The sequence below is a fragment of the Homo sapiens genome, chromosome 20 (assembly GCF_000001405.40).
Source record: "Homo sapiens chromosome 20, GRCh38.p14 Primary Assembly".
Classification (NCBI taxonomy): Eukaryota; Metazoa; Chordata; class Mammalia; order Primates; family Hominidae; genus Homo; species Homo sapiens.
In genome coordinates, this window is record NC_000020.11 from 18,648,580 (window position 1) to 18,671,639 (window position 23,060).

At 43.4% G+C, this 23,060-nt stretch overlaps 1 protein-coding gene across 1 annotated transcript in view, besides 1 other annotated feature; it reads left to right on the forward strand.

The window, feature by feature from the left end:
• The window catches only part of DTD1 (D-aminoacyl-tRNA deacylase 1), a 178,591-nt gene that overhangs the window by 60,526 nt on the left and 95,005 nt on the right, over positions 1 to 23,060 (forward strand). The gene's annotated exons all lie outside the window — the stretch shown is intronic.
• Positions 20,714 to 21,213: an enhancer, noted in NCBI's record as "H3K4me1 hESC enhancer chr20:18649937-18650436 (GRCh37/hg19 assembly coordinates)". NCBI's record gives its function as "activates a minimal SCP1, AML or CMV promoter by ChIP-STARR-seq in naive H9 embryonic stem cells {active_cell/tissue: H9 hESC(naive)}" and the evidence as "EXISTENCE:reporter gene assay evidence [ECO:0000049][PMID:30033119]".

The window sequence follows — 23,060 nt, forward strand, 5'->3', positions numbered from 1 at the left end:
GGCACTAAAAGGCAAAGCATTTTCTCTTCTTTCATCTCTCTCTCTTCCTCCTCCACTTGTCATGGTGCTTCTATTTTCTATTTTAAGTCATTATAACCAAGGACAAATAAAAAATTTAGATTATTGGCGTGAATTTTACCATTTATATTGTGCAGTGCCAGTTTTAAATGAAAATTTAAGGCCGAGGTGGGCGGATCACGAGGTCAGGAGATCGAGACCATTCTGGCTAACACGGTGAAACCTCGTCTCTACTAAAAATACAAAAAATTAGCCGGGTGTGGTGGCAGGGGCTTGTAGTCCCAGCTACTCGGGAGGCTGAGGCGGGAGAATGACGTGAACCCGGGAGGCAGAGCTTGCAGTGAGCTGAGATCGCGCCACTGCACTCCAGCCTGGGCAACAGAGAAAGACTCCATCTCAAAAAAAAAAAAAAAAAAAAAAAAGCAAATTTAACTTGTATGTGGAATGACCAGAATTACACAGTTTGTATTTTGTAGCTCCTACATCATATGAATTTCATTCTTACCAGAACAGTGGGAACTAACATATTCCTTCTTTTTGTCTCACACATGTCCTGCCACCACTGTCTTGTTCAGTTCACTGATGAGTCAGGAGGGACTGTCAGGTCGGGGAGCCATGGGTCGCCTTGTTTGCTTTCTGAGTCAGTATGTCCAGGGGAAGTGGTGGCTAACACAAGACAAGACTCGAGCGAGAAAGACTCTGATGGGCTTTCTCAGCCATTCATCTTTCTTTTTTTTTTTTTTTTTTTTTTTTTTTTTTGAGATGGAGTCTTGCTCTGTCGCCCAGGATGGAGTGCAGTGGCGCGATCTCCGCTCACTGCAACATCCGCCTCCCGGGTTCACGCCATTCTCCTGCCTCAGCCTCCCGAGTAGCTGGCACTACAGGTGCCTGCCACCAAGCCTGGCTAAGTTTTGTATTTTTAGTAGAGATGGGGTTTCACTGTGTTAGCCAGGATGGTCTCAATCTCCTGACCTCGTGATCCGCCCGCCTTGGCCTCCCAAAGCCATTCATCTTTCTTAGAACACCATTGCTCTTTCTGTGTTCAAGGCAAGTTCTGGTTCAGATGGAAAGTGTGAGCTCTTGGGGCTTTCAACACCCCCTTACTCAGTTGTAGAAGTAACACGCTTACTGTAAATGTGAGTTGAGTGTCGCTGAACCCCCATGCGTTGTGGGCCCACCCAGCGCGGTGCTCATGGAATCCCAAGTGCTATGCTCAGTAGGCAGCAGAGAAAGGTGTCAGACCCCCATATTGTGTGTATCACCTCCGCTCATGCTCATGCGCCACAGTCCTGTTGGACTTCACCTACAAAACACACATTCGAAGGTAAAATTGGGCTGGATGCAGTGGCTCACGCCTGTAATTCCAGTACTTTGGGAGGTGGAGGCAGGTGGATTGCTTGAGCCCAGGAGTTTGAGACTAGGCTGGGCAACACAGGGAGACGTTATCTTTACAAAATTTAAACAAAACAACACACAAAAAACCTAGCCCACTGTGGTGGTGCATGTCTGTAGTCCCTGCTACTCAGGAGGCTGAGTTGGGAGGATTGCTTGGGCCCAGGAGGTCAAGGCTGCAGTGAGCTGAGACTGCACCACTGAACTCCAGTCTGGGTGACAGAGCAAGACCCTGTCTCAAAACAAAAACGAACACAAAAACAAAACAGGTAAAATTGTTAACAGTTTCTACATGGCTATAGCAGAGTATTTAACTAAGTGCAGAACCAGTTGAGTGCGAGGCCCTGTGTGCTTGCTCAGGTCACTTGCCTGTGAAATCAGCCCTGTCACCCTGTCATGTTGCAGCCTATCACGGCCCCGTCCTCCCTGCCCACATCCTGGCCATCCTTCTCCATGATGAAATCTGCCCTCCTGCTCTGTACTCCTGGCCTGCACGCTGAGCACCCTACTTCATGCTGCAGCTGCCCTGCACTGAACCCCCAGTGCCCCATGCTGCTCCACTTCTGATTTCCTTTGTCAGACTTATCTTTTAAAATATTGTCACTGTATCTATTGGTTAGTTACTTTTTACATTTATTGTCTCTTTTCCCTGCCAAAATATAAGTTCCCCAAGGGCAGGGATCTTAGACCAATTATGGGAAAGCAAGAGGCAGCTCAGAATTGACTATGTGCTATTTGCTGTGTAAGGTTGTAACATGGGATAAAGCAGGCATTACAAACTAAAGGCAGATGGAGGATTTCTCAGCAGGTAGTAATTGGGCAACTGGTGGCAATTATGGAAAATTAATGATTTTAGATCCTTTATCCCATACCTTAGAATAAATTCCAGTGGAATTAAAAAGATAAATGTAATTTTAAAAAATCTCACAGAGGGTACTGGCCTTCCTAAATATAAAAATGTGTTACAACGCTCTAGTAATGCAACAGATGGTGCTGGCAGAGCAGGAGAGAAACCTATTAACAGACTAGATGAAAGACCTGAAAGAGAACCTGATTATTTATGGGAAGTTGAGAATATAATAAAGGATACCATTTCAGAGCAGTGGCAAGAGGTGGATTTTCAAAAAAGCTGTTACAACAGCTGGTTAGTTTTTGTTTGTTTGTTTGGTTTGTTTGTTTTTAGATGGAGTCTCACTCTGTTATGCCGGCTAGAGTACAGTGGTGTGATCTTGGCTCACTGCAACCTCTGCCTCCCGGGTTCAAGTGATTCTCCTGCCTCAGCTTCCAGAGTAGCTGGGATTATAGGCATATGCCACCACACTGAGCTAATTTTTGTATTTTTAGTAGAGAGGGGTTTCACTATGTTGGGCAGGCTGGTCTTGAACTCCCGACCTCAGGCAATCTGCCCGTCTCCGCCTCCCAAAGTGCTGGGATTATAGGCGTGAGCCACCGCTCCCAGCCAACAGCTGGTAGTTTTAAAAATTGTTGGTACATAATCTGCCTAGCTGTCTTTCTGTGGCTCCTTTGCCTCCAGTATATTCTGATAAAGAGAGGATTTGTCTTAACGCTCTCATGACTGCCCCCTTTGAGAGTTCTGTCACTGCATCTTGCTCCTGGCCAGCGTTAGAACTTTCAGGTCCCAGCATAGGCTGAGCCCTGTGCAGCTTGGGCCCCTCCCCAAAACGGTTCAGTGAAATTTTTCTGGAGAGTGGTCTGAGCATCAAGACTTTTCAAAGCTCTCCAGGTGATTCTAAACTGTAGCTAAGATTGAGAACCGTGGTTTTAGTAGGCTCTGGCATCCTTTGGGATGCCAAAAGTCCAAGATCTAGGCTAAGAACACTGCCCCAAAAGATTAGGGCATAGGGCTTGCCAGATTCTTGTAGCTGGGCAGGGATGGAGGTAGATCTGGGGTCTTTCAAACCAGCCCACTTATTTAAAGTGGACAGAATGCTTTCCAGGGTATGTGTCCAGAGGATGAGAGGTAGGGCCGTTAGCCACTGGTTCCTGTCCCCATTGGCAGTTCAAGCAGGCCAGCAGGCTTCCATGGCTTCTGAGAAGGCCTCATGGCAAAAAGACCTGCAGTGCCTGGTGAGGAGTACTGACTGTCAGCTGAGCTGAAGCTAACGTGGAACTGTCTGCAGTGGTTGGGGCTGACATAGGGCGGGCCCAGGGGGCAGCATGCAGGCACTGAGAAGTGTCTGGATTTGAGTCTTTGCATAAACTTATATACCCCGTCCTTGAAATTAAGTGCACTTCTAGGCATTTGGGGGATTCCCAATAAATATTAGCTGGAAAATAATAGCTATAAAAATATTTTCTAAAGCAATAAAAGAAAAATGCCATTTTGGTTTTATTCAGTTTACAATCTTTAATAAGGTAGAGTAACTCCTAGGATTAAAAGTCAGTCACAATCTTGGACAACATTTTTACTTTCTGGTGCGTACTTGGCTCCTATTCAGGAGCTGGCAGGCTGAGTCTGGAGGGGCCCATCCAGCTTTTAGACCAAGGCAGGTGCAGCCTGGAGGGCCTCAGAGGACCAAAGGACCCTTTCAGGGATACACGGGTAACACTCCTAGCTCCACTTTTGAGCAGTGGGTCTCTACCTGGGCTGCCTTGTCCTGTGTAGTCTTAGGGGTCTGGCACCCATAAGCGGACTCTGCTAGCTTTGACATTTCCATCCCGCTGGAGCACTTTGGTCTCATTTTTGATGAAGCACTCTCAACTCCAGCTTGTAGACCTGTTTTGGATATCAGGAGTAGCATCCGAATTTCCATCAGTATGAAGCAGTAGAAAGGGAGACACAATAGGAAAAATGCTTTGTAGACTGCAAAACTCTATGCAGATATGGGGTGGGACTAAAAATAGTATGATAAATTGTGGATTTTTGCTGAATTTAGAACAGAATGATGGATGCTTTCATGTCTGTTTAGGGACTAAATGGCACTGGGGAATAGAGGAGAGAGTTGTTCAGGAGCAGTTGTTGGCTGACTTGCTTAAGAAACAGAATTTTTGCCAGTGTGTCTGAGACTTCCTGAAGCAAAAAGGGATCACCCAGCTGCAGCTTGGGGCTTTTAGCAGGTGGGTTGTGGCCACATGGCATTGACTTAATTAATTAATTAATTAAAGAACAGGCCAGGCACAGTGGCTCATGCCTGTGATTCCAGCACTTTGGGAAGCTGAGGTGGGCATATTGCTTGAGCCCAGGAGTTTGAGAAGAGCCTGGGCAACATGGTGAAACCCTGTCTCTATAAAAAATTAGCTGGGTATTATGGCATATGCCTATAATCTCAGCTGCTTGGGAGGCTGCAGTGGGAGGATCATCTGAGCGTGGGAGGTTGAGGCTGCAGTGAGCCAAGATCGTACCACCAAACTCCAGCCTGGGTGACAGAGTGAGACTCTGTCTCAAGACAAACAAACAGACTCATAAATTAGCTGTCTTTGAACTCAAATATTAGTCTAAAGTATGCTAATATGTGAAAGTAATATGTTGATTTTTGAGTGTGAAATAAGAATACTCTAAAAATTAAAGTAAGCTTATGAAATTCAAATAATTTTTACTTATTAGTGGCTTATAATTACTGTGAAAGGTGTATGATCTAAACAGACAAATAGCATACTTGTTTAACAATTAGACAGTGGTTAATTCATAAACTTCTAATCAGACATCTGTCTTTGGATAGTAGCTCTGGCATTCTTTCCAAAAGTTTATTTACTAGTTAAAAATGAAATGTTAGAAAGCTGTTGTTTTGGAAATGTATAATTCCAAAAGTAAACCTTGCTTTTGAAAAATGAAATTGTTATATGTGAAGGAGGGTTATAATAACAGAGCATCATTGTTAATAAAAACACATTTGAGAACAAACAGTTTTAAAGTTTCAAATCCATGCACATGACCCTCACAGCCATCATGAGAGGGGAGGGGCATGGGGATGGCCTCAAATGACTTGTTCAAGGTCATGTGACATGGCTAAGTGAGAGAGCTGGATCCCAATAGAAAACAGTCTTTCAGGCTGCACTGCTTTACATTTTTTTCTGACTGAACTTCGTTAAATATGATTTCTTTCCAATTTATAATATGGTCTGTTTAAACAAATAAAACTCCAGAATTTCTCAGACCAGTGGGTGGATGATATGTTTTGGCTGTGTCCCCACCCAAATCTCATCTTGAATTTTATGATAGCTCCCATAATCTTCCCATGTTGTGGGAGAGACCCAGTGGGAGGGTTTTCCTGTGCTGTTCTCATGATAGTGAACAAGTCTTAGGAGATCTGATGGTTTTATAAAGGGCAGTTCCCCTGCACATGTTGTCTTGCCTGCCACCATGTGAGATGTGCCTTTGTTCCTTCCACTTCTGCCATGATTGTGAGGCCTCCCTAGCCATGTGGAACTATGAGTCCATTAAACCTCTTTTTTAAAAAGAAATTACCTGGTCTTGAGTATTTCTTTATAGCAGTATGAAAATGGACTAATGCAGTGGCACTGGGTCCTCCAGGAGTGAGCTGCTCTGGAAAGTATTCAAGTCCTTGCCATTTGTTCTTCGAAGGCCAGCTCAGTTCAGTGTAGTTGCAGGGGTTTACAGGTCTATCTGTGGACTCTGTCCCCAAAGCTTGGATGGTGTTAAGGAGAGTCTCTCAGTACCTGTGTGTAAAGCCATTGTTCAGTGCTTACCCATTCTGCTGTGTTTCTCCAGGCCAGAGCTCTGGGAGTCACACTGGCTCATCTCCAGAACCTGTATTTTTCTCTGTCAGAAACATTCTCTATATTTGATGGGCTGAGAAAAATAATCTATTCAACCTGAGAAAGCTCATTAAAAAAAAAAAATCTGTTGAATAAAAGGTTAAGTTGGTAAGGGAGGCTTTGGTTTTATACATACGGGAATAAAAGTCTCTTACATTGCTAAAAAACCCTTTGTCTTTAAAAGCATCAATCAATATTAACAGTGCTTTTAAAGTGAGATTACATTATTTTAGAAAGTAATCATGATTCAGAAAATTAATAAATGCTTATGAATCATGCTTATGTATTTCATTTTAATCTGTAGTTTGGAATAAAGTTATTTCAAAGAGTGTTTTTGGTTATTAGAATGTTTAGCTATGTTATGATATAACACTTAAACTTAATTTCAGTAACAACAAAACAAGAACCCATAATTTTAGGATCTGTAATACAGCCTAGGAAATGAGGTCTGGTGGGAATGCTTCCAATTTAGTATCTTTGTTTTTCAGAGAAGGTTATGAACTCTCTTCAATTAATCCAGATACAGATAGCTTCGATTACTACTGAATTTATGTGAATGATTATAGTAGACTAATGAGTTAATCTGTTAGCAACCCATTCTGACCTGTGATGTACTAGGCCAGTTGCTTTATCTGTATGAGTTAGTTTTCTCGCTTCTTTTAGTGAGAGTGATAATTTCTGTTTGTTGCAAGGGTAAGTCTGTTTTAATTATGGCAATTTTTTTCTGAAATACTTACTTTTAAAACTTTGTATTATAGAAAACTCCAAACTCACATAAGTAGAGGGGGTAGTATAATGGACCATCATGCACCTGTCATCTTGTATCAGCAATTATCAGCCATCACAGAAAGTGCATGGGCGTCCCTGTGAAATGGCAGGGCTGTAAGCGTGGACAATTGAGAGCCATGCTGGAGGGAAGCATTGTGGGTGCAGCACACATCACGTCAGGGGCAATACCTGGGTGTCCCCAGAGGGTATTTCATTGAATGGCCATATTCTTTTCCTAAATGATGGGCATTTCATTTGTTTTCTTTTTCTTTTTTTCTTTTTACTTTTTTTTTGAGAGGGAGTTTCACTCTTGTTGCCCAGGCTGGAGTGCAATGGCGTGATCCGGCTCACAGCAATCTCCGCCTCCCAGGTTCAAGTGATTCTCCTGCCTCAGCCTCCCGAGTAGCTGGGATTACAGGCATGCGCCACCACACCCAGCTAATTTTTTATGTTTTTAGTAGAGACGGGGTTTCACCATGTTGGCCAGGCTGGTCTTGAACTCCCGACCTCAGATGGTGCACCTGTCTCAGCCTTCCAAAGTGCTGGGATTACAGGTGTGAGCCACCACACCTGGCCTCATTTGTTTTCTTTTTTTTCCCTAACACAGGCAGTGTGGCAGTATTTTTCTATGTAAATATTTGCTTACTTCTGTTTTCTTTGTAGGAAAATGGAGGAAACATCTAGAAATAAAGAAGGCTTGGATATTTTCTTTCTTCTCTACAAATATTTTATTGTGACTTGATAATTTTTAGCACTTTGGCTTTTTTCTTAGTTCTAGGTTAATTATTCTCTAAATGGAACTGTCTTTATAGGGATTATCTTAAGAAATGCTAGTTGTCACAGCACACAGACTCAGAAATCTCTATGGCTTAACACAATAAAAGTTAATTTTGCTAAAGTACTACACGGTTTGGCAAGAGTCTCCTCCATCTGTTGACTCAGGAATCCAGTCTCCATTAGCTTGTGTCACCACCTGGTGACAGAGGAACAGGGATCTGGAGTCACCTCACTGACTCTTACACATCACCTCTGCTCATGTTCCCATTCAGTTCTTGGGAGGCTGGCAGGTAACACGAAGGAGCACATGGATGCTGGGGGAGCACTATGTCTGCCTCGCTCCTCTGGTCGTCAGAGTAGGTGCCATTGTAGATTTGACAGCTCTTGTCCCTGCAGCCCTCACATAGCTAACACCACACCCCATTCACTTGAAGTCTTCTGTTTACCAGGGAATCGGAGGTTTGAAATCAAGCTTAGACTCCACACGTGTCTCAGTACCTTCCTTAGTCGTGGCCGTGGCAGAACAGCCTCTCCAAGTGCATCCTGGAAAACCGGCATCAGAGCCTTTCAGTAAATGGGCTTAGTGTCATTTAAATTTTAATGGCAATATTCTTTTTTGTTGTTACTTTAAATAAATTCCAGTTTTTAAACTTTTTAATTTTGAAATAATTTGTCATACAAAAAAAGTTGCAAAAATAGGATGCAGATCACCTTTATACCTTTATTCAACTTTCCTTAATGGTTGTTTTTTTTGTAACTATAATATAATGATCTAAACCAGGAAATTAACATTGATACAACACTAATCCACAGATCTTCTTTGAATTTTGTCAAAGGCAATACTATTATAAGTAAAGGAAAAGCCGTTCTCAGGTTCCAGTTTGCACATCCCATCACCTATGTGTGGTCTTTCTTTGGTCACGGGGACCCCTTACTCAACAAATGAGCAGGATGCGCTGAGAGTGCCTACTTTGCCGATTAACAGGTAACCTAGCACTGGGCCTTTTGTAGTTCATGCATTACTATTTTTGCATTACTACTCTGTTGGCAACATGCTGAAAAAAAACAAGGGGAAAGGATAATAGCCCTTCTTATTTATTAGAAAATAGACAAAGAACCTCTAGTAATTTTGGAGACTTTGGAGATAAAAATGGTCTAAAACTCAGACCATCACTTTTCTGCAATCTTTCCATTTCTCTTGGCCAGAGATAGCACCTCTAACCTTAGCTAATTGGGTTGCCCAAATGTGGGCTTGGCCAACAAAAGGAGCAGAATGAGGGAGTCCAGATCGCTCAGCAGAAAATAATTCTCACCACTGCCTTAATTCAAGTCAGCAAGCACTTATTGTCTATTGAGTGCTTGGAATCTTAGAAAGAAATACAGATATGTCTATTAGTCATCTATCACTGTGTAACAGATTACCTCAAGCTTAGTGGCTTAAAACAATAACATATAGTATCTCATGTAGTTTCTGTGAGCCAGGAATTCAGGAGAGGCTTTCTGGGCAGTTGGCAGGAGGTTCAGTTCTTCTCCACGTGGGCCTCCCCATAGGCCTGCTTGACGTGGCTTATGACATGGTGCTGAGTGAGCAGTTCAAGGTGGAGGCTACAGCGTCCTTCAGGGCCTCGCCTTGCAAATCACACACACATTTCCACAATATTCTATTGGTTACAGAGGTCAGCCTTACTCAGTATTAGAGGGGAGTACACAGGGCCTGAATACCAGGAGGCAAGGATACTTGGGGCACATCTTGGAGGCTGGCTACCACAGTGGGAGAGAGAAGTGGCAAGGCTCTGTGATACTAAATAGGTTTGCTTGTGAAGCATTATTTCTGTCTATAAAAAGTATTTATTAAGCCCCTTTCTGTGTAGGTATCTGGGGGAAGAACATTCTAGGCAGAGGGCATAAGAGTCTGAGATGTGTGTGTGTGTGTGTGTGTGTGTGTGTGTGTGTGTGTTTCCCCCACCCCTGTGTGTTGTTGTTGTTGTTTTTAAAAGATTTAGCTATAGGTCTGAATACCAAGCTATAGCTAGTGTCTCTTCTATTTATACTTAATTTCTTTTTTTTTTTTTGAGACAGAGTCTCGCTCTGTCGCCCATGCTGGAGTGCAGTGGCGCCATCTCGGCTCACTGCAAGCTCCGCCTCCCAGGTTCATGCCATTCTCCTGCCTCAGCCTCATGATATTTGTACTTAATTTCTAATAATTAAATGTTTGTTATGCTTTATGTCTTTGCCATAGATATTAATAGATGAAAATGTGGATGAACTTTGATGTTCTTTTCTGAGATGAAGTCATTGTGCTAGCCAGTTTCATTTCTCAATGTCTGTTAATGGTTTGTCATTCGAGTGCAACCCCATGTAAACACACAGGTAACTTGGTTAGTAAGTTGTAGGAAGAGGAAGATCTCTGACTTTACTTTTTCCTATTCTACTGGTTAAACATGACTGACATATAAATGTTTATCTGTTTCACAGAGTCAGTCTTTATTAACACTCCCCATGTTAGCATCAAAGAAGAAAGTTTTGGTACAAGCAGCCTTACCCACTTATGTAGGGGTGGGACACTGATTAGCAGTTGGTGTGACTGTGGTGCAGAGTGAGCCTTGCACTTAGAGAAGCAGCCCCCTGATGCCCCAGGCTTGGGTGTGGCATCTGACAGCTTTGGACAGGTCACTTACCTCTCTGTAGAAAGGTGGCACATTTGTGCACTCTGTAGAAAGAATGGCATCTGGCACATTTTAGGAATTGAAAATGAACTTTATTATCTGTAGTTCTAAGATATCTAAATGAATTCTTAAAAAAAAGAAAAAGCGTAAGCAGAGATCTCAAATGTGCATGGCTGCTTTCTTAAGAAGAATTTATATTTTCAAAACTAATACTTTTTGTATACTCCTCAAGAAAGTTTTAGAAAAGTGAAACAGACATCTTTTCTTTCTGGGACGTAGTCTGATGGATGCAAGCCTGAGTCAGGTGCTAACAAACTTCGTCAAAAGCAGTGCCCAGCACTGGTTTGCACCTTTGGCCCTGTTGCTCCCCACCATGAGTGCCCAGGCTGACCTGTGGAAGGGGACTCTCCCATTCTCCTCGATTTGCAGACTCTTTCCTCCCTCCCTTTATGAACAGCTACAAGTACATGTGCCCTTTCCATTATATTCATGATGTTTAATTTCTCTTTTGTCATATCAACTTAAGCTTGAAATTGAGATTACTTAACCATATCTTTTAATGTCATGCTCAGGTTTGTTTAATTTTTTAAATGTTGTCTTTTATAGAGTTTATTATGGTTAATCAAAAAATATATTTTTTTAAGAATGAGTTTATATTCTTTGGAGGGACATGGATGAAGCTGGAAACCATCATCCTCAGCAAACTAACATAGGAACAGAAAACCAGACACTGCATGTTCTCACTCATAAGTGGGAGTTGAACAATGAGAACACATGGACACAGAGAGGGGAACTTCACACACTGGGGCCTGTCAGGGAGTGGGGGGAAAAGGGAGGGAGAGCATTAGGACAAATACCTAATGCATACGGGGCTTAAAACCTAGATGACAGGTTGATAGGTACAGCAAACCACCATAGCACATGTATACCTATGTTAGCAAACCTGCACGTTCAGCACATGTATCCCATAACTTTAAAAAAGAAAGAAAGAAAGAAAAAAAATATTTTTTTACCAGCTGGGCATGGTGGCTCACATCTGTAATCCCAGCACTTTGGGAGGCCGAAGTGGTGGATCACTTGAGGTCAGAAGAGGAGTTTGAGACCAGCCTGGCCAACATGGTGAGACCCTATCTCTACTAAAAATACAAAAATTAGCTATGCGTGGTGGTGGAAGCCTATAATCACAGCTACTCGGGAGGGTGGAGGTTGCAGTGAGCTGAGATTGCACCACTGCACTCCAGCCTGGGAGCCAGAGCGAGACTCCGTCTCAAAAAAAAAGTATTTTTTATTTTTATTTTTTGAGATAGGGTCTCGTTCTGTTGCCCAGGCTGGAGTGTAGTGGTGTGATCATGGCTTACTGCAGCCTCAACCTCCCAGACTCAAGCAATCCTCCCATCCTAGCCTCCTGAGTAGCTGGGACTATAGGTGCACACAAGTACGCTTGGCAAATTTTTGTATTTTTTTGTGGAGACAGGGTTTTGCCATGTTGCCAAGGCTGGTCTCGAACTCCTGAGCTCAAGTAATCTGCCTGCCTTGGCCTCCCAAAGTGCTGGGATTACAGGCATGAGCCACCGTGGGTGGCCCAAAAAAGAAGCTTTTATTTAGCAAAGCAGAAACTGAAAGAAAAAGGAAGAAAGAAAACAAAAAGGCTTTTTATTACAAAAAAAATTATTTAGTATAAAGAGAGTTTAAAATAGACATCCTATCGGCTCATTTTAGCAACTTTGAGAAAATTGTGAAATATAAAATATTAAATAAATCCAGGGGATATATTTTGACTAGATAAAAATTAACCCTATATACCATAAACAAATTCAGAAGAAAAAAGTTAGGCTAGGAAAAAATATTTGTAATATTTTAAATTGAATTTTGTATTGAGGTTACTATATGTCACATGCAATTGTAAGAAATAATACAGTGAGATGCTGTGTACCCCTCACCCGGTTTCTCCTAACATGGAAGCATCTTGCAGAACCACAGATAATATCCCAACCAGGATATTGACAGTGATTTTATCTACCCACCTTTAGGCTGAGGTTCATTTTCTTTGCTTCTATAGATGTCTTGTTGATCCAGCACTGTCTTGCCTCCATTTTTATACCTTTGTCAAAAACTAGTTAGACTTGTGTGGTCTGTTTGTGGGCTCTGTTTTGTTCATTCATCTTTGTGCCTATCCCTCTGCCATTATCACTCTATCTTGATCACTGTAGCTTCATAGTAAGCCATAATGTTGGGTACAGTATTTCCTCCCACTTTATTCTCCTTTGTTAGACATGTTTTTAAGCAGTTCTAGGACCTGTGCCTTTCTGTATAAATTTTAGAAAAAGCTGTCTGTGACTACAAAAAATGATGCTGGGAATTTGATAGGAATTACATTAAACCTGTACTCAATTTGCAGAGATTTAACTTTTTTACTGTGTTGAGTCTTCTAGTCTTTTTTTTTTTTTTTTTTGGGACAGAGTCTTGCTCTGTCGCCCAGGCTAGAGTGCAGTGGTGCGATCTCAGCTCACTGCAAGCTCTGCCTCCCAGGTTCATGCCATTCTCCTGCCTCAGCCTCCTGAGTAGCTGGGACTACAGGTGCCCGCCAGCACGCCTGGCTAATTTTTTGTATTTTTAGTAGAGACGGGGTTTCACCGTGTTAGCCAGGATGGTTTTGATCTCCTGACCTCGTGATCTGCCCGCCTTGGCCTCCCAAAGTGCTGGGATTAGAGGCGTGAGCCACTGCACCCAGCTGAGTCTTCTAGTCTTTAAACATGGTATTCCTCTCCATTTATGAAACTTTGTTTAAACAAAGTAATAATATTTGGAATCCATAAAGAGCACCTACAAATCAATAAGGAAAAAAAGGCTGAAGAGCCATAGGAAACGGAGAAAAGGCTGATAACAGGTAATGTCCAGAAGAAATATAAATGGACATTAAGATTTGAAAAGAGACCAGGCACAGTGGCTCATGCCTGTAATCCCAGCACTTTGGGAGACTGAGGCAGGAGGATTGCTTGAGGTCAAGAGTTTGAGACCAGCCTGGGCAACATAGTGAGACCCTGTCTCTACAAAACATATAAAAATTAGCCAGGCATGGTGGTACAAGTCTGTAGTCCTAGCTACTTAGAAGGCTGAGGTGGGAGGATCGCTTGAGGCCAGGAGTTCAAGGCTACAGTGAGCTATGATTGCACCACTGCGGTCCAGCCTGGGTGACAGAGCGAGACCCCATTTCTTAAAAAAAAGTTGTGAAAAGACGTTCAGTTTTCCTGATGATCCAGGAAATGCAAGTTACAAGCTCCCATGTTTTGCCTTGTTAGATAGGTAAAAATTAAAAATCAATAATACTAGCAATTTTTGTTGGCCAGGCTGGTCTCGAACTTCTGACCTCAAGCGATCTGCCTGCTACAGCCAGGCTGGTCTTGAACTCCTGACCTCAAGCGATCTGCCTGCCACAGCCTCCTAAAGTTCTGGAATTACAGGTGTGAGCCACCATGCCCAGCTGGGGGTGGGGGGGAGAGTATTTTTGGAAAGCAGTCAGCAAATGCTGAGTAAAATCAGAACCAGACCTAACCTGACTGAGCAATTCCACTTCTGCAAGCTGCTCCAGAAGCACATACACATGTGCAGAAGGGTATTGGTAGAAGGATGCTCAATACAGCGTTATCCAAACAACCAAAATGCTAATCAGTAGAGGAAAGGTTACACAAAGGGTGTCTTGTCCATAGTGTAGAATACTGTGCGCCAGTTAAAAAGAATGCAGTTGACCTATATCCTATGTGTACTGACATTTCCAAAGGGATAATAGGAGAGAAGTCAAATATTCCCCCCTCCTTTTTTTTTTGTTCCACTTTCCTTTTAAATAGATATAAAACAGCCATCTTGTCAGTTCTGGCCTTCTTGTCACATTGTTGAATGGACACAGCTGCTTCAGATAACTCAGTTGTGGCTCAGGAGGTGAAATTACTGATAAATTAACTTTCTTTTTATGGCTCTTATCGCAAAGTCATTTATATTGCTTTTGTTGTGTAGTGGGAATGGGGAATGAGGGTCCAGGGCCTGGAGAGGCTGGGGTTGTGACTGGGGCAGGAACCATGTGTCTCTGGTTATGCCCAGTGGTCTTATCCTCTCACTTCCCTGCCCCTTTGGTATCCTACCCAGGTCAGAAGGACAGTGTTAACCTCTCTATTAACAATGGCTTTTCCTTTGAAAAGGTCTTAATAGGGCTGGCATCCAAGTTTCATGGGATGCCCTAATAGGGCTGGCAACCTTGTTTTCATGATCTAGTTTGGTAGAAAAGTTTCATAGAAAGTGTCCATATAGCTGGGTGTGGTGGCTCACATCTGTAATCCCAGCACTTTGGGAGGCTGAGATGGAAGGATCAATGAGTCCAGGAGTTCTAGGCTAGCCTGGGCAACATGGCGAGACTCTGTATCTATAAAAAAAAAAAATATACAAAGTTTCCATACAACAGGTTATTAAGTACTTTGATCTATGTTCTTACCAAAATGTATGGCTCATTTAATTTAATAGATCAAATTACAGTCACATGCCACATAATGATGTTTGGTTAACAATGGGATCCATATATCTATGCAGTGGTTCATCTATATATCCACATGATGCTGGTCCCATAAGATTATAATATTGTTTCTTTTCTATGTTTAGATACACAAATACTTACCATTGTGTTACAGTTGCCTACAGTATTCAGTAGAGTAACATGCTGTATTAGTTAGTTCTCATGCCACTACGAAGAAATACCCAAGACTGGTTAATTTATAAAGGAAAGAGATTTAATTGACTCACAGTTATGCATGGCTACGGAGGCCTCATGAAACTTATAATTGTAGAAAAGGCACCTCTTCACAGGGCAGCAGGAGAGAGAATGAGTGCCAGCGGGGGAACTGCTAGACATTTATAAAACCATCAGATATCATGAGAACTCACTCACTATCATGAGAACAGCGTGGGGGAAAGTGCCCCCATGATTCAGTTACCTCCCACTGGGTCCCTCCCATGACATGTAGGGATTCTGGAGATTACAATTCAAGATGAGATTCGGGTGGGGACACAAAGCCAAACCATATCACCTACTGTACAGGTTTGTAGCCTAGGAGCAATAGGCTACACCACATAGCTTAGGTGTGTAGTGGGCTTTATCATCTAGGTTTGTGTAAGTCACTTGGTGATGTTCACAAGACGATGAAATCACCTAACCATGCATTTCTTGGAATGTGTCCCACAGTTAAGTGATGGATGACTGTATTTATTTTTTCAACAATCCTTCAGAACAGAATTGTTTCTGTGAACAGAGTTCATGTTGTGTATGTCCTTTTCACTCTTTTTTTCCAAAAATTTTTACTGTGCATTCTTATTTAAGACCTATAAGAAGGAATAATACAATGAATGCCTGGTGTATTCACCTCTGAGCATGAGAAAGTGTTCTTCCCACTCATAGAGTCTTCTAGGATGTTCTAATGATGAGGGGACCGACTGCCTTCATGCCCCTTGTGTTCCTGCTTTCTGATGGTATTGGCTTCTGGGGCTCAGCTCCATGCTGTTTCTTGTAATGTCCTCGGTGATGGGAAATTCTACAGCAGGATTCAAGATTCTGCGGTGATGCTGTCCTGAATCCATGAGCAGATCTGTGTGGTGGTGGCCAGGGGTGATGGGGGCTGATTTGGGGAATGGATTTGGCTCAGGAACTCAGTTGAAGCTGTGGACACCATTTTAAGCACTTTGTATGTTGACTTCAAAGTTTTGGAAGCCTTGGAAAAATTTTAAGCAGAGAGATGACATGGCCAGTTTGCTTTTTTAATCTACGGTTCTGGCAGAAGTGTGGGGTGTGTTGTGTGTGAGGCAAGGGTGTGTGGCCCAGGGGCTCCTGCTGGTCAGTTTAGGGGCCCTGCAGGCCTTACCCTTCTCAGGCATCTAGAGCTAGGTTAGGGTCACTAGTTGCCTCAAATCCCATCTTCCCCCACCTCTTCCTTAAGGGAGACCTGGGTACACGGGGTGGGTGGGGTTCAGGGACTTAATAAGCCAGTGGTCTCTAGTGTGGGCTGTCAGAAAAAAAATAATAAAAAGCCACTTGGAGGATGGAAAGTAAATATTACCACTCCTATTTATATGTATCTCGGACCATTTTATAATGTTTTTAGTGTGTGAATACCACGGAAGACATAGCTAACTTATAAGTAGTGAACGGGCATTATGGGAGGAGCATGCTCCCAATCTTTTTATCAGTAGTGTGGGCCATCACTGAGTTTGGAGACTGCTGCTGAGAGGAAGGTGGGTTCAGTTGGGGCTGGGGGCCAGGGGGTCTTGGCAGTTGTGCCCAGTGTCTGCTTCTGTGACAGGCTGGCACTTCATTAGAGGCCCAGGCATCTCCAACAGCAGCTCTCAGACAGATGCCAGCAGGGCATCTGCCTAGTGCTCCACTGGTGGCTGGCCTGCCTCCTGGGATCAGCCCCGGCTCTGGGGAAGCTCTCTTCAGGTATCCCCTTGAGGAGTGCCAGCCGTGGAGTCAGACCTGCCTTTCCATCAGGCTCAGGAGCCTGGTGGTTCTGCCCTGGCAGTTTCTCTAGTTTGTGAGTTCCAGGAAGAGTGTGGGTTACTCAACTTAGTTACATATTCTTAGTTTGAATGGTGTCCTGAGTTACAACTGACAAGTGGCTCTGAAACATCTTTGGCATTTAGGACCACCATTCCTGAAAAGTAGCAGTCTTTAGGTTTGATGAGGTACCCATCCTTTACAGCCTTGTTTGCAAGGGTTACTTAGTCATCTGAAATGTAAACAAAATACAAGTCAATTTTTATAGCCTTGTCAATAATGCTTTACAAAAGAATGTATGTGGTCTATAGGGTTTATTTTTTCTCTCGCATGTTACACACAAATATTTCTTTTTTAAGTTTTTATTTTGAAATATTTTAGATTTACAGAAAAGTTGCAAAAATAGAAATGTTGCTGAGAGTATAGAGAGTACCCATATACCTCATCCAGCTGCCCCCACTGTTACCCCCACAACATATTGTCAAAATTAAGAAACTGACATTGGGTACATTACTATTAAACACATATTTTTGGATTGCACCAGTTTTTCCATTTATATCCTCTTTCTGTTCCAGAATCTAGTCTAGGATCCTGTTTCAGGATCTGCCACATTGCATTTTGTTGTCAGTGACAGTTTCTCAGCCTTTCCTTGTTTTTCACCACCTTGACAGTCTTAAGGAGGACTGGCCATGTACTCTATAGAATATCTGGGTCCAAGGTTTTTCTAGTGATAGACTATGGTTCTGGGTTTTTGGGATGAGTACCAAAAAGCTGAAGTACTCTTCTCATATCGTGTCAAGGGGTATGTGACATCCCTGGTGATGTTAACCTTGATCACCTGGTTAATGTAATGTTGGCCAGGACTCTCCATTGTAAAGCTACTATTTTTCTCTTTTCCTCCTCTGTTCTTTGAGAGTGAGTCACTAAGCACAGTCCTTTCTTAAAGGGGTTGAGAGGATTAAGCCCCATCTCCTGAAGTTATCTACATGCATTATTTATAGTGGCAGGACACCCAGATAGATTTAATTGCAGATAAACAAGAAATTTTTTTTTAGTGTGTGTCCCTTGCAGTATCTGAACTTCACAGTTAATTAGACGTCCTGTATTTTGTTAAATCTGGCAACCCTATTTGGAATTCTTCTGTAAGAAAGATTTGTCTCTTTCCCTTGATGTTTGATTTTGAGTTTGATTTCACTATCTTCTTGGTATAGCTTTCTTCCTACTTTCTGTCATCCTTCAGCAGAGTTTGATATACTTTAGTGATTGTACTTTCTCTACTTAATTTTTTTTAAAGCAACATGGAAAATAGTTTTGTTTGCTTCAAAAAAGGAATCAGTTTATGTGTGTGTTTTAATCAAAAGATTTTTCTCATTATATGAGCCAAAAAGCACATTAGTTTCCAACCCCTATAAATGAAACCCAGAGTTGAAGAAAACAAGGGATTTGTACCGAATTTCTAAGTGCAGATTGTGGGAGGGGCAGGGAAGAAGGCGCTGCTCCTGGAAGCAGCCCCAGGTGACTAAAGCAGCAGCCAGCCAAACGGTTCCATCCAGCCTGGCAGTATGAGGCACTTGTGATTTGCTTATGACCCATGACTTCCAGCAGGTGTGAGAGAATTCTAAGTGGATGTGGAAACCAAGGAGGGCTACGTGGTGGGGATGCCAAAGGGATCTGTGTAGTTTGCTTTTAAAAGGAAACCCGACCTCTCGTTTCATGAAGTGCACCTAGCCCATCAGATGGCATTGCATTTCATTAAAGCAGCCATTCTGCACCACGATTACCTTGAGTGTTTTGTTCTCAGCAGCTGGTACCCATCAAATTGGGGCCTGCTTTTCATCAGCAGCAGGTGTTCCAGGAAGCAGCCAGGGACTGCAGAGTTCAAAGATGGCTCAGCTCATCCTGGAGAGGAGACCACTGTTGTCTAAGCGGCCCTGACGAGCCTTTCCAGAGCTGAAAGATCGCTGATGGGCCAGGCAGAGAGGAGGTTTTGGGACTCGGGAACCAAATGGGGCTGCTCTGCTGGCAGTTCCCCTCTTATCAGTTTACTTGAAAGAAGGATGGCACATGAGAGGGCGTGTGTCCCTTGAAGGGAAGGTCCCCCCTGGCATACAGCGGGTGTTTTTTTGAACATTTGTTGATCCAATGAAGGCATTTCTTCCTTGCCCTGCCACACGTTCAGGTGACTTTCAGCAACTATGACATGGATCCGTCTGCCTTATGAACTGACCACCAGCTTCTGTGTTAATGAGTCCAGTCACTTGCCGCTTCTTACCTAAATCTGTTTGCCAGGTTTCCACAGAAAGCCCCCCACCTGAGCGCCCTCTCCCTTCTCCCCACGCCTCTGCCTCTGGGGCCAGGTCATTTCTCTTCTATCTCTGGCACCTGGCACATTACTTGACCTGCAGAAGGCCCTCGTCAGATGCATAGGGAGTATCTACCTACCTCAGGTGGGAATGACTTGCGTATCCCAAATGAGAAATGCTTATACGTGCGAAGGTGCCCAGGGCAGTCGTTAAACTGTCTGCACATGTGTATGGCTGATACATTTAGACAGAGGCTGCCAGTTCTTTTTCCAAAAGAAAACAAGATGCATTGCTTTTAACATAGCTTCCTGAAGGTGTTACAAATGTCAGTATTTGGTTCTTGCAGTACTGTTGAACAGAACAACATATGTTTGTCCATGTGTTTATATATTTTTAAGATACCAGATGTCTGTAGTACCAGTTATTATCTATTTTTGATTTATGTTTTGAAACTTAGAAACACATTTTGGGCTAGTACGATAGCATGAGTGCTGAGTGCTACCTGGTTGTAGGATATAGTTGGACAAGCTATTTTGAATTTTGAATTTTCTTGAGTTTCTGTTTATGGGATGTCAGTGTGTTACACACATGATAAACAGGTCAGTTCCTAACAGCTCTAAAAAGGAGCAGGCAGTTATGTTTCTGTGAGGATTTTGGCATGCAAGTGTAATGCTGAAGAATGGCAGCTGAATCCTGCCACTGTTAGGGGTGAGAGAGCCAGGAGCCAAGCAGTGGGACGGTGGCACCATTTGAAGACCTCTGTTGTCGGTGAAGTTAGCTTGACCCACACCTGTGGCAAGGCCCCATCCTGAGTGTGAGAGCTCCTGGGGCCACCACTGCCAGTGGTCAGGGGATAGAGACTGAGCCCCCGAGTCATTACTGTGAGGTGTTTTCTTCTGCATCTGGAGCCACAGTGGCATTGTTGAGTGAAATGAGCTACCAGGTTCTCATTTTCACGCAGCTCATAGTCCTCTCTGAACTGCTCACTGTTCTTTCTTGAGGAAACTAAATAGCTTAACTTGCCCTTTTCCAGATTTTTCTGCCTCTCAACTTCTAGAGCTGAATGTGAGGTCATTTAAAGGTTTTCTTTTCAGCTTTAATGCTATAGAATTGGACATTTTTGCAGCTGTGGCCACCTTGCTTTCAGAAATGTGTTTCTTCTTATTCTGGCTAACGAGCATCTTTGAGGTGCAAGTCTCGCCCAGAACAGGCATATCTGAGAGGCGCAGCTCACCTTGATGGCTTGGCTCCATCCTCAAAAGGCAGGGAGGGCACTTTATAGAGCACTTGTGTTCAAGCTTCCTTAGCAAGGACCCCTTTGTGGACTTGTAATTATATCTGGACTGTAATAGGAAACATCATGAGCTGCTGTTTGACATGGGGACCAGGGGGTAGTGAGGTGAGTAGGAGTGTGTGGGAAGGGGCGTCTCTGAGGCCACTCCTGAGGGGCCTTTGGCCACACAGTGTGGAAGCCGTAGCTCTGGAGTCAGGGTTTGCCAGCAGGGTCCCCTCCCACTGGTCAAGGGTCTGCCCTTGATGCTGCCTGATGCCCTCTCCTTGAGAGTCCTGTCCCTTCCCTCAGGTCAGCGACTACCTCCAGGCTGTGGACCTGCATGAAACTGAAGGCCAGGTATTTCCGCCTGAAAGTTGGCCCGTCTTTGCATTCCTCGGCTGAGCTCCTCTTTCTCCTGTCATGTGCAGGATTCTGTCATCGGATCAGGCTCTTGGGATCTACCCCCTTTTCCTTGGCTTTCTGTTCCTCATCTGTAACCAGGGCTTGTTCATCCACATCTTGGTGATAATGAAAACAACGAGTGACCACTGTCGACTGAGCGCTTGCTCTGCTGGGCCTGCCCTTAGTGCCTCACTCACCCCTCTCCCCAGCCTCTAAAAGTTAGGTGCAGATGACCCAGATTTTCCATTTTGTGTGTGTGTGACTGCTGAACTTGAGGCCTTATCACTCCAAACTGGGTTATTCCAATCGCTCCCGGGGGGGTCTGCATGCCAAGGGTTTCTGTACTGTGTCTTGCATACCGTGGCCTGCTTAACATTTCTTGAACGCTTTGATCACAGCAGTTCTCTCCACAAGTCTTTGCTGGCTCCAGTTCCATTGGGGGTAAAGATCAAACTTCAGGCGAGCCAGGTCTGTATCTCCATTCCTGTCTCTGACTGCTTCCCTGTAGGGATTGTCTGCAAGCGCACACCTGCATTTTCTTGTCCACAAGTCTATGCTCTAACTCTGTCACCTGCATGGCTGCAAATTAGCTTCCTTCTTCCTGCCCTCTTCTCTCTAGCTTGGATTTTGAATTTGAATGGCAGGCATGGGATGTCCGTGTGTGTGTACTGCTGATGTGTACAGCCGCTTGTTAGCGCTCTCATTGTCTTCAAATGTAAGTCATTTTGGCTGGGTGCGGTGGCTCATGCGTATAATCCCACGCTTTGGGAGGCTGAGGTGAGCTGATCATTTGAGGTTAGGAGTTCGAGACCAGCCTGGCCAACATGGCAAAACTCCATCTCTACCAAAAATACAAAAATTAGCTGGGTATGGTAGTGCACGCCTGTAATCCCAGCTACTTGGAATGCTGAGGCAGGAGAATTGCCTGAACCCAGGAGGCGGAGGTTGCGGTGAGCCAAGATCACGCCACTGCACTCCAACCTGGGTGACAGAGCAAGGCTGTGTCTCAAAAACAAGCAAACAAATGTAAGTCATTTCCATTTGACTTCTCAAGAGCTCATCTCTTGTTCTGCAATTAAATTATCAACTTCTTAAGGCAAGAACCAGAACTTAAAACTCTGCCACAGCTCCCATTGCAGTGCACAGAGTAGGCAGTCAACAAATATTTGCTTTTGATTAGAGTTCTAAATAAAGTCGTTTACTCAGAATAAAGAAGCTTTGTGTCACTGGAATGAGAACATGGTGTTGCTGTTTCTCCTGCTCACATCCAATCTTGTCGTTCTTCATTGGTTCATGAGAGGCTAAGAGCAAATCAAGCCAATGAACAGAGAAGCCATGGAGTGAAACCTTCAGAGGTTTCTGTACATCCAGACAGTGAAAACATTGTCATCATCATCAGTATCACCTATTAACAGAAAAACGTGAGTCTCAAGTGCTAGTGGCATTCATAGTGAATTATTTTGTGTCATTTCCTTTAGTGTTTGTCCCATGGACCCACTCGGCAGATTCTTGGGTGTGCTGGCCATTCTTGGGTGTGGTTGTGGATGACAACCTCATGGAAATGGAACTGAGAGATGCCTTGTCAATCCTCAGTCAGTGCTCTTCCAAACAGTCCCCACTGTGCACATGCCCTGGAATCTGCAGTCTGTGGCTCTGTTGCTTAGTAGAATCAAGGCAGGTGGATGGAGAAAGGCTGCCACTTCACATGACATTCTCATGTAAGGGGCCTCTTTCTCATTCTCTAGTATTTATTTTATCTTGAGACCTTGGTCTCATTACAGTTTAAATTTTGTTCTCTTACTTTAATGGCTTATTTAATTGAGAACATTTCAATGAAAAAATGTTTAAAACATTGTAGTTGTAAAGAGTCTGGGGTCATGCGGAGGTTTTAATTGATCCCTATGATGAATGAATATAACTCCCTAGTGCAGGGCCTCCTTTTCATTATTTCTCAAGGCCTTTATCCCGTCTCCATCAGCACAGAACAGCTTGATGTTTTTTGGCCAATTGCAGTCTGAGTTATTCCACTTTTAAAGCATTGACTTCATAACCGAGAGGCTGAAGGCAGAGTAAGCTGGATAAGTTACTCCTGTGCTATTTATTGCATAAAGCATTAAAAACAGCACTAGCATGGTCATCTCTTTTACTTTTCAGAGGCTCTGTCATCACTTTAATTGGTTGTTGTTAGAGCA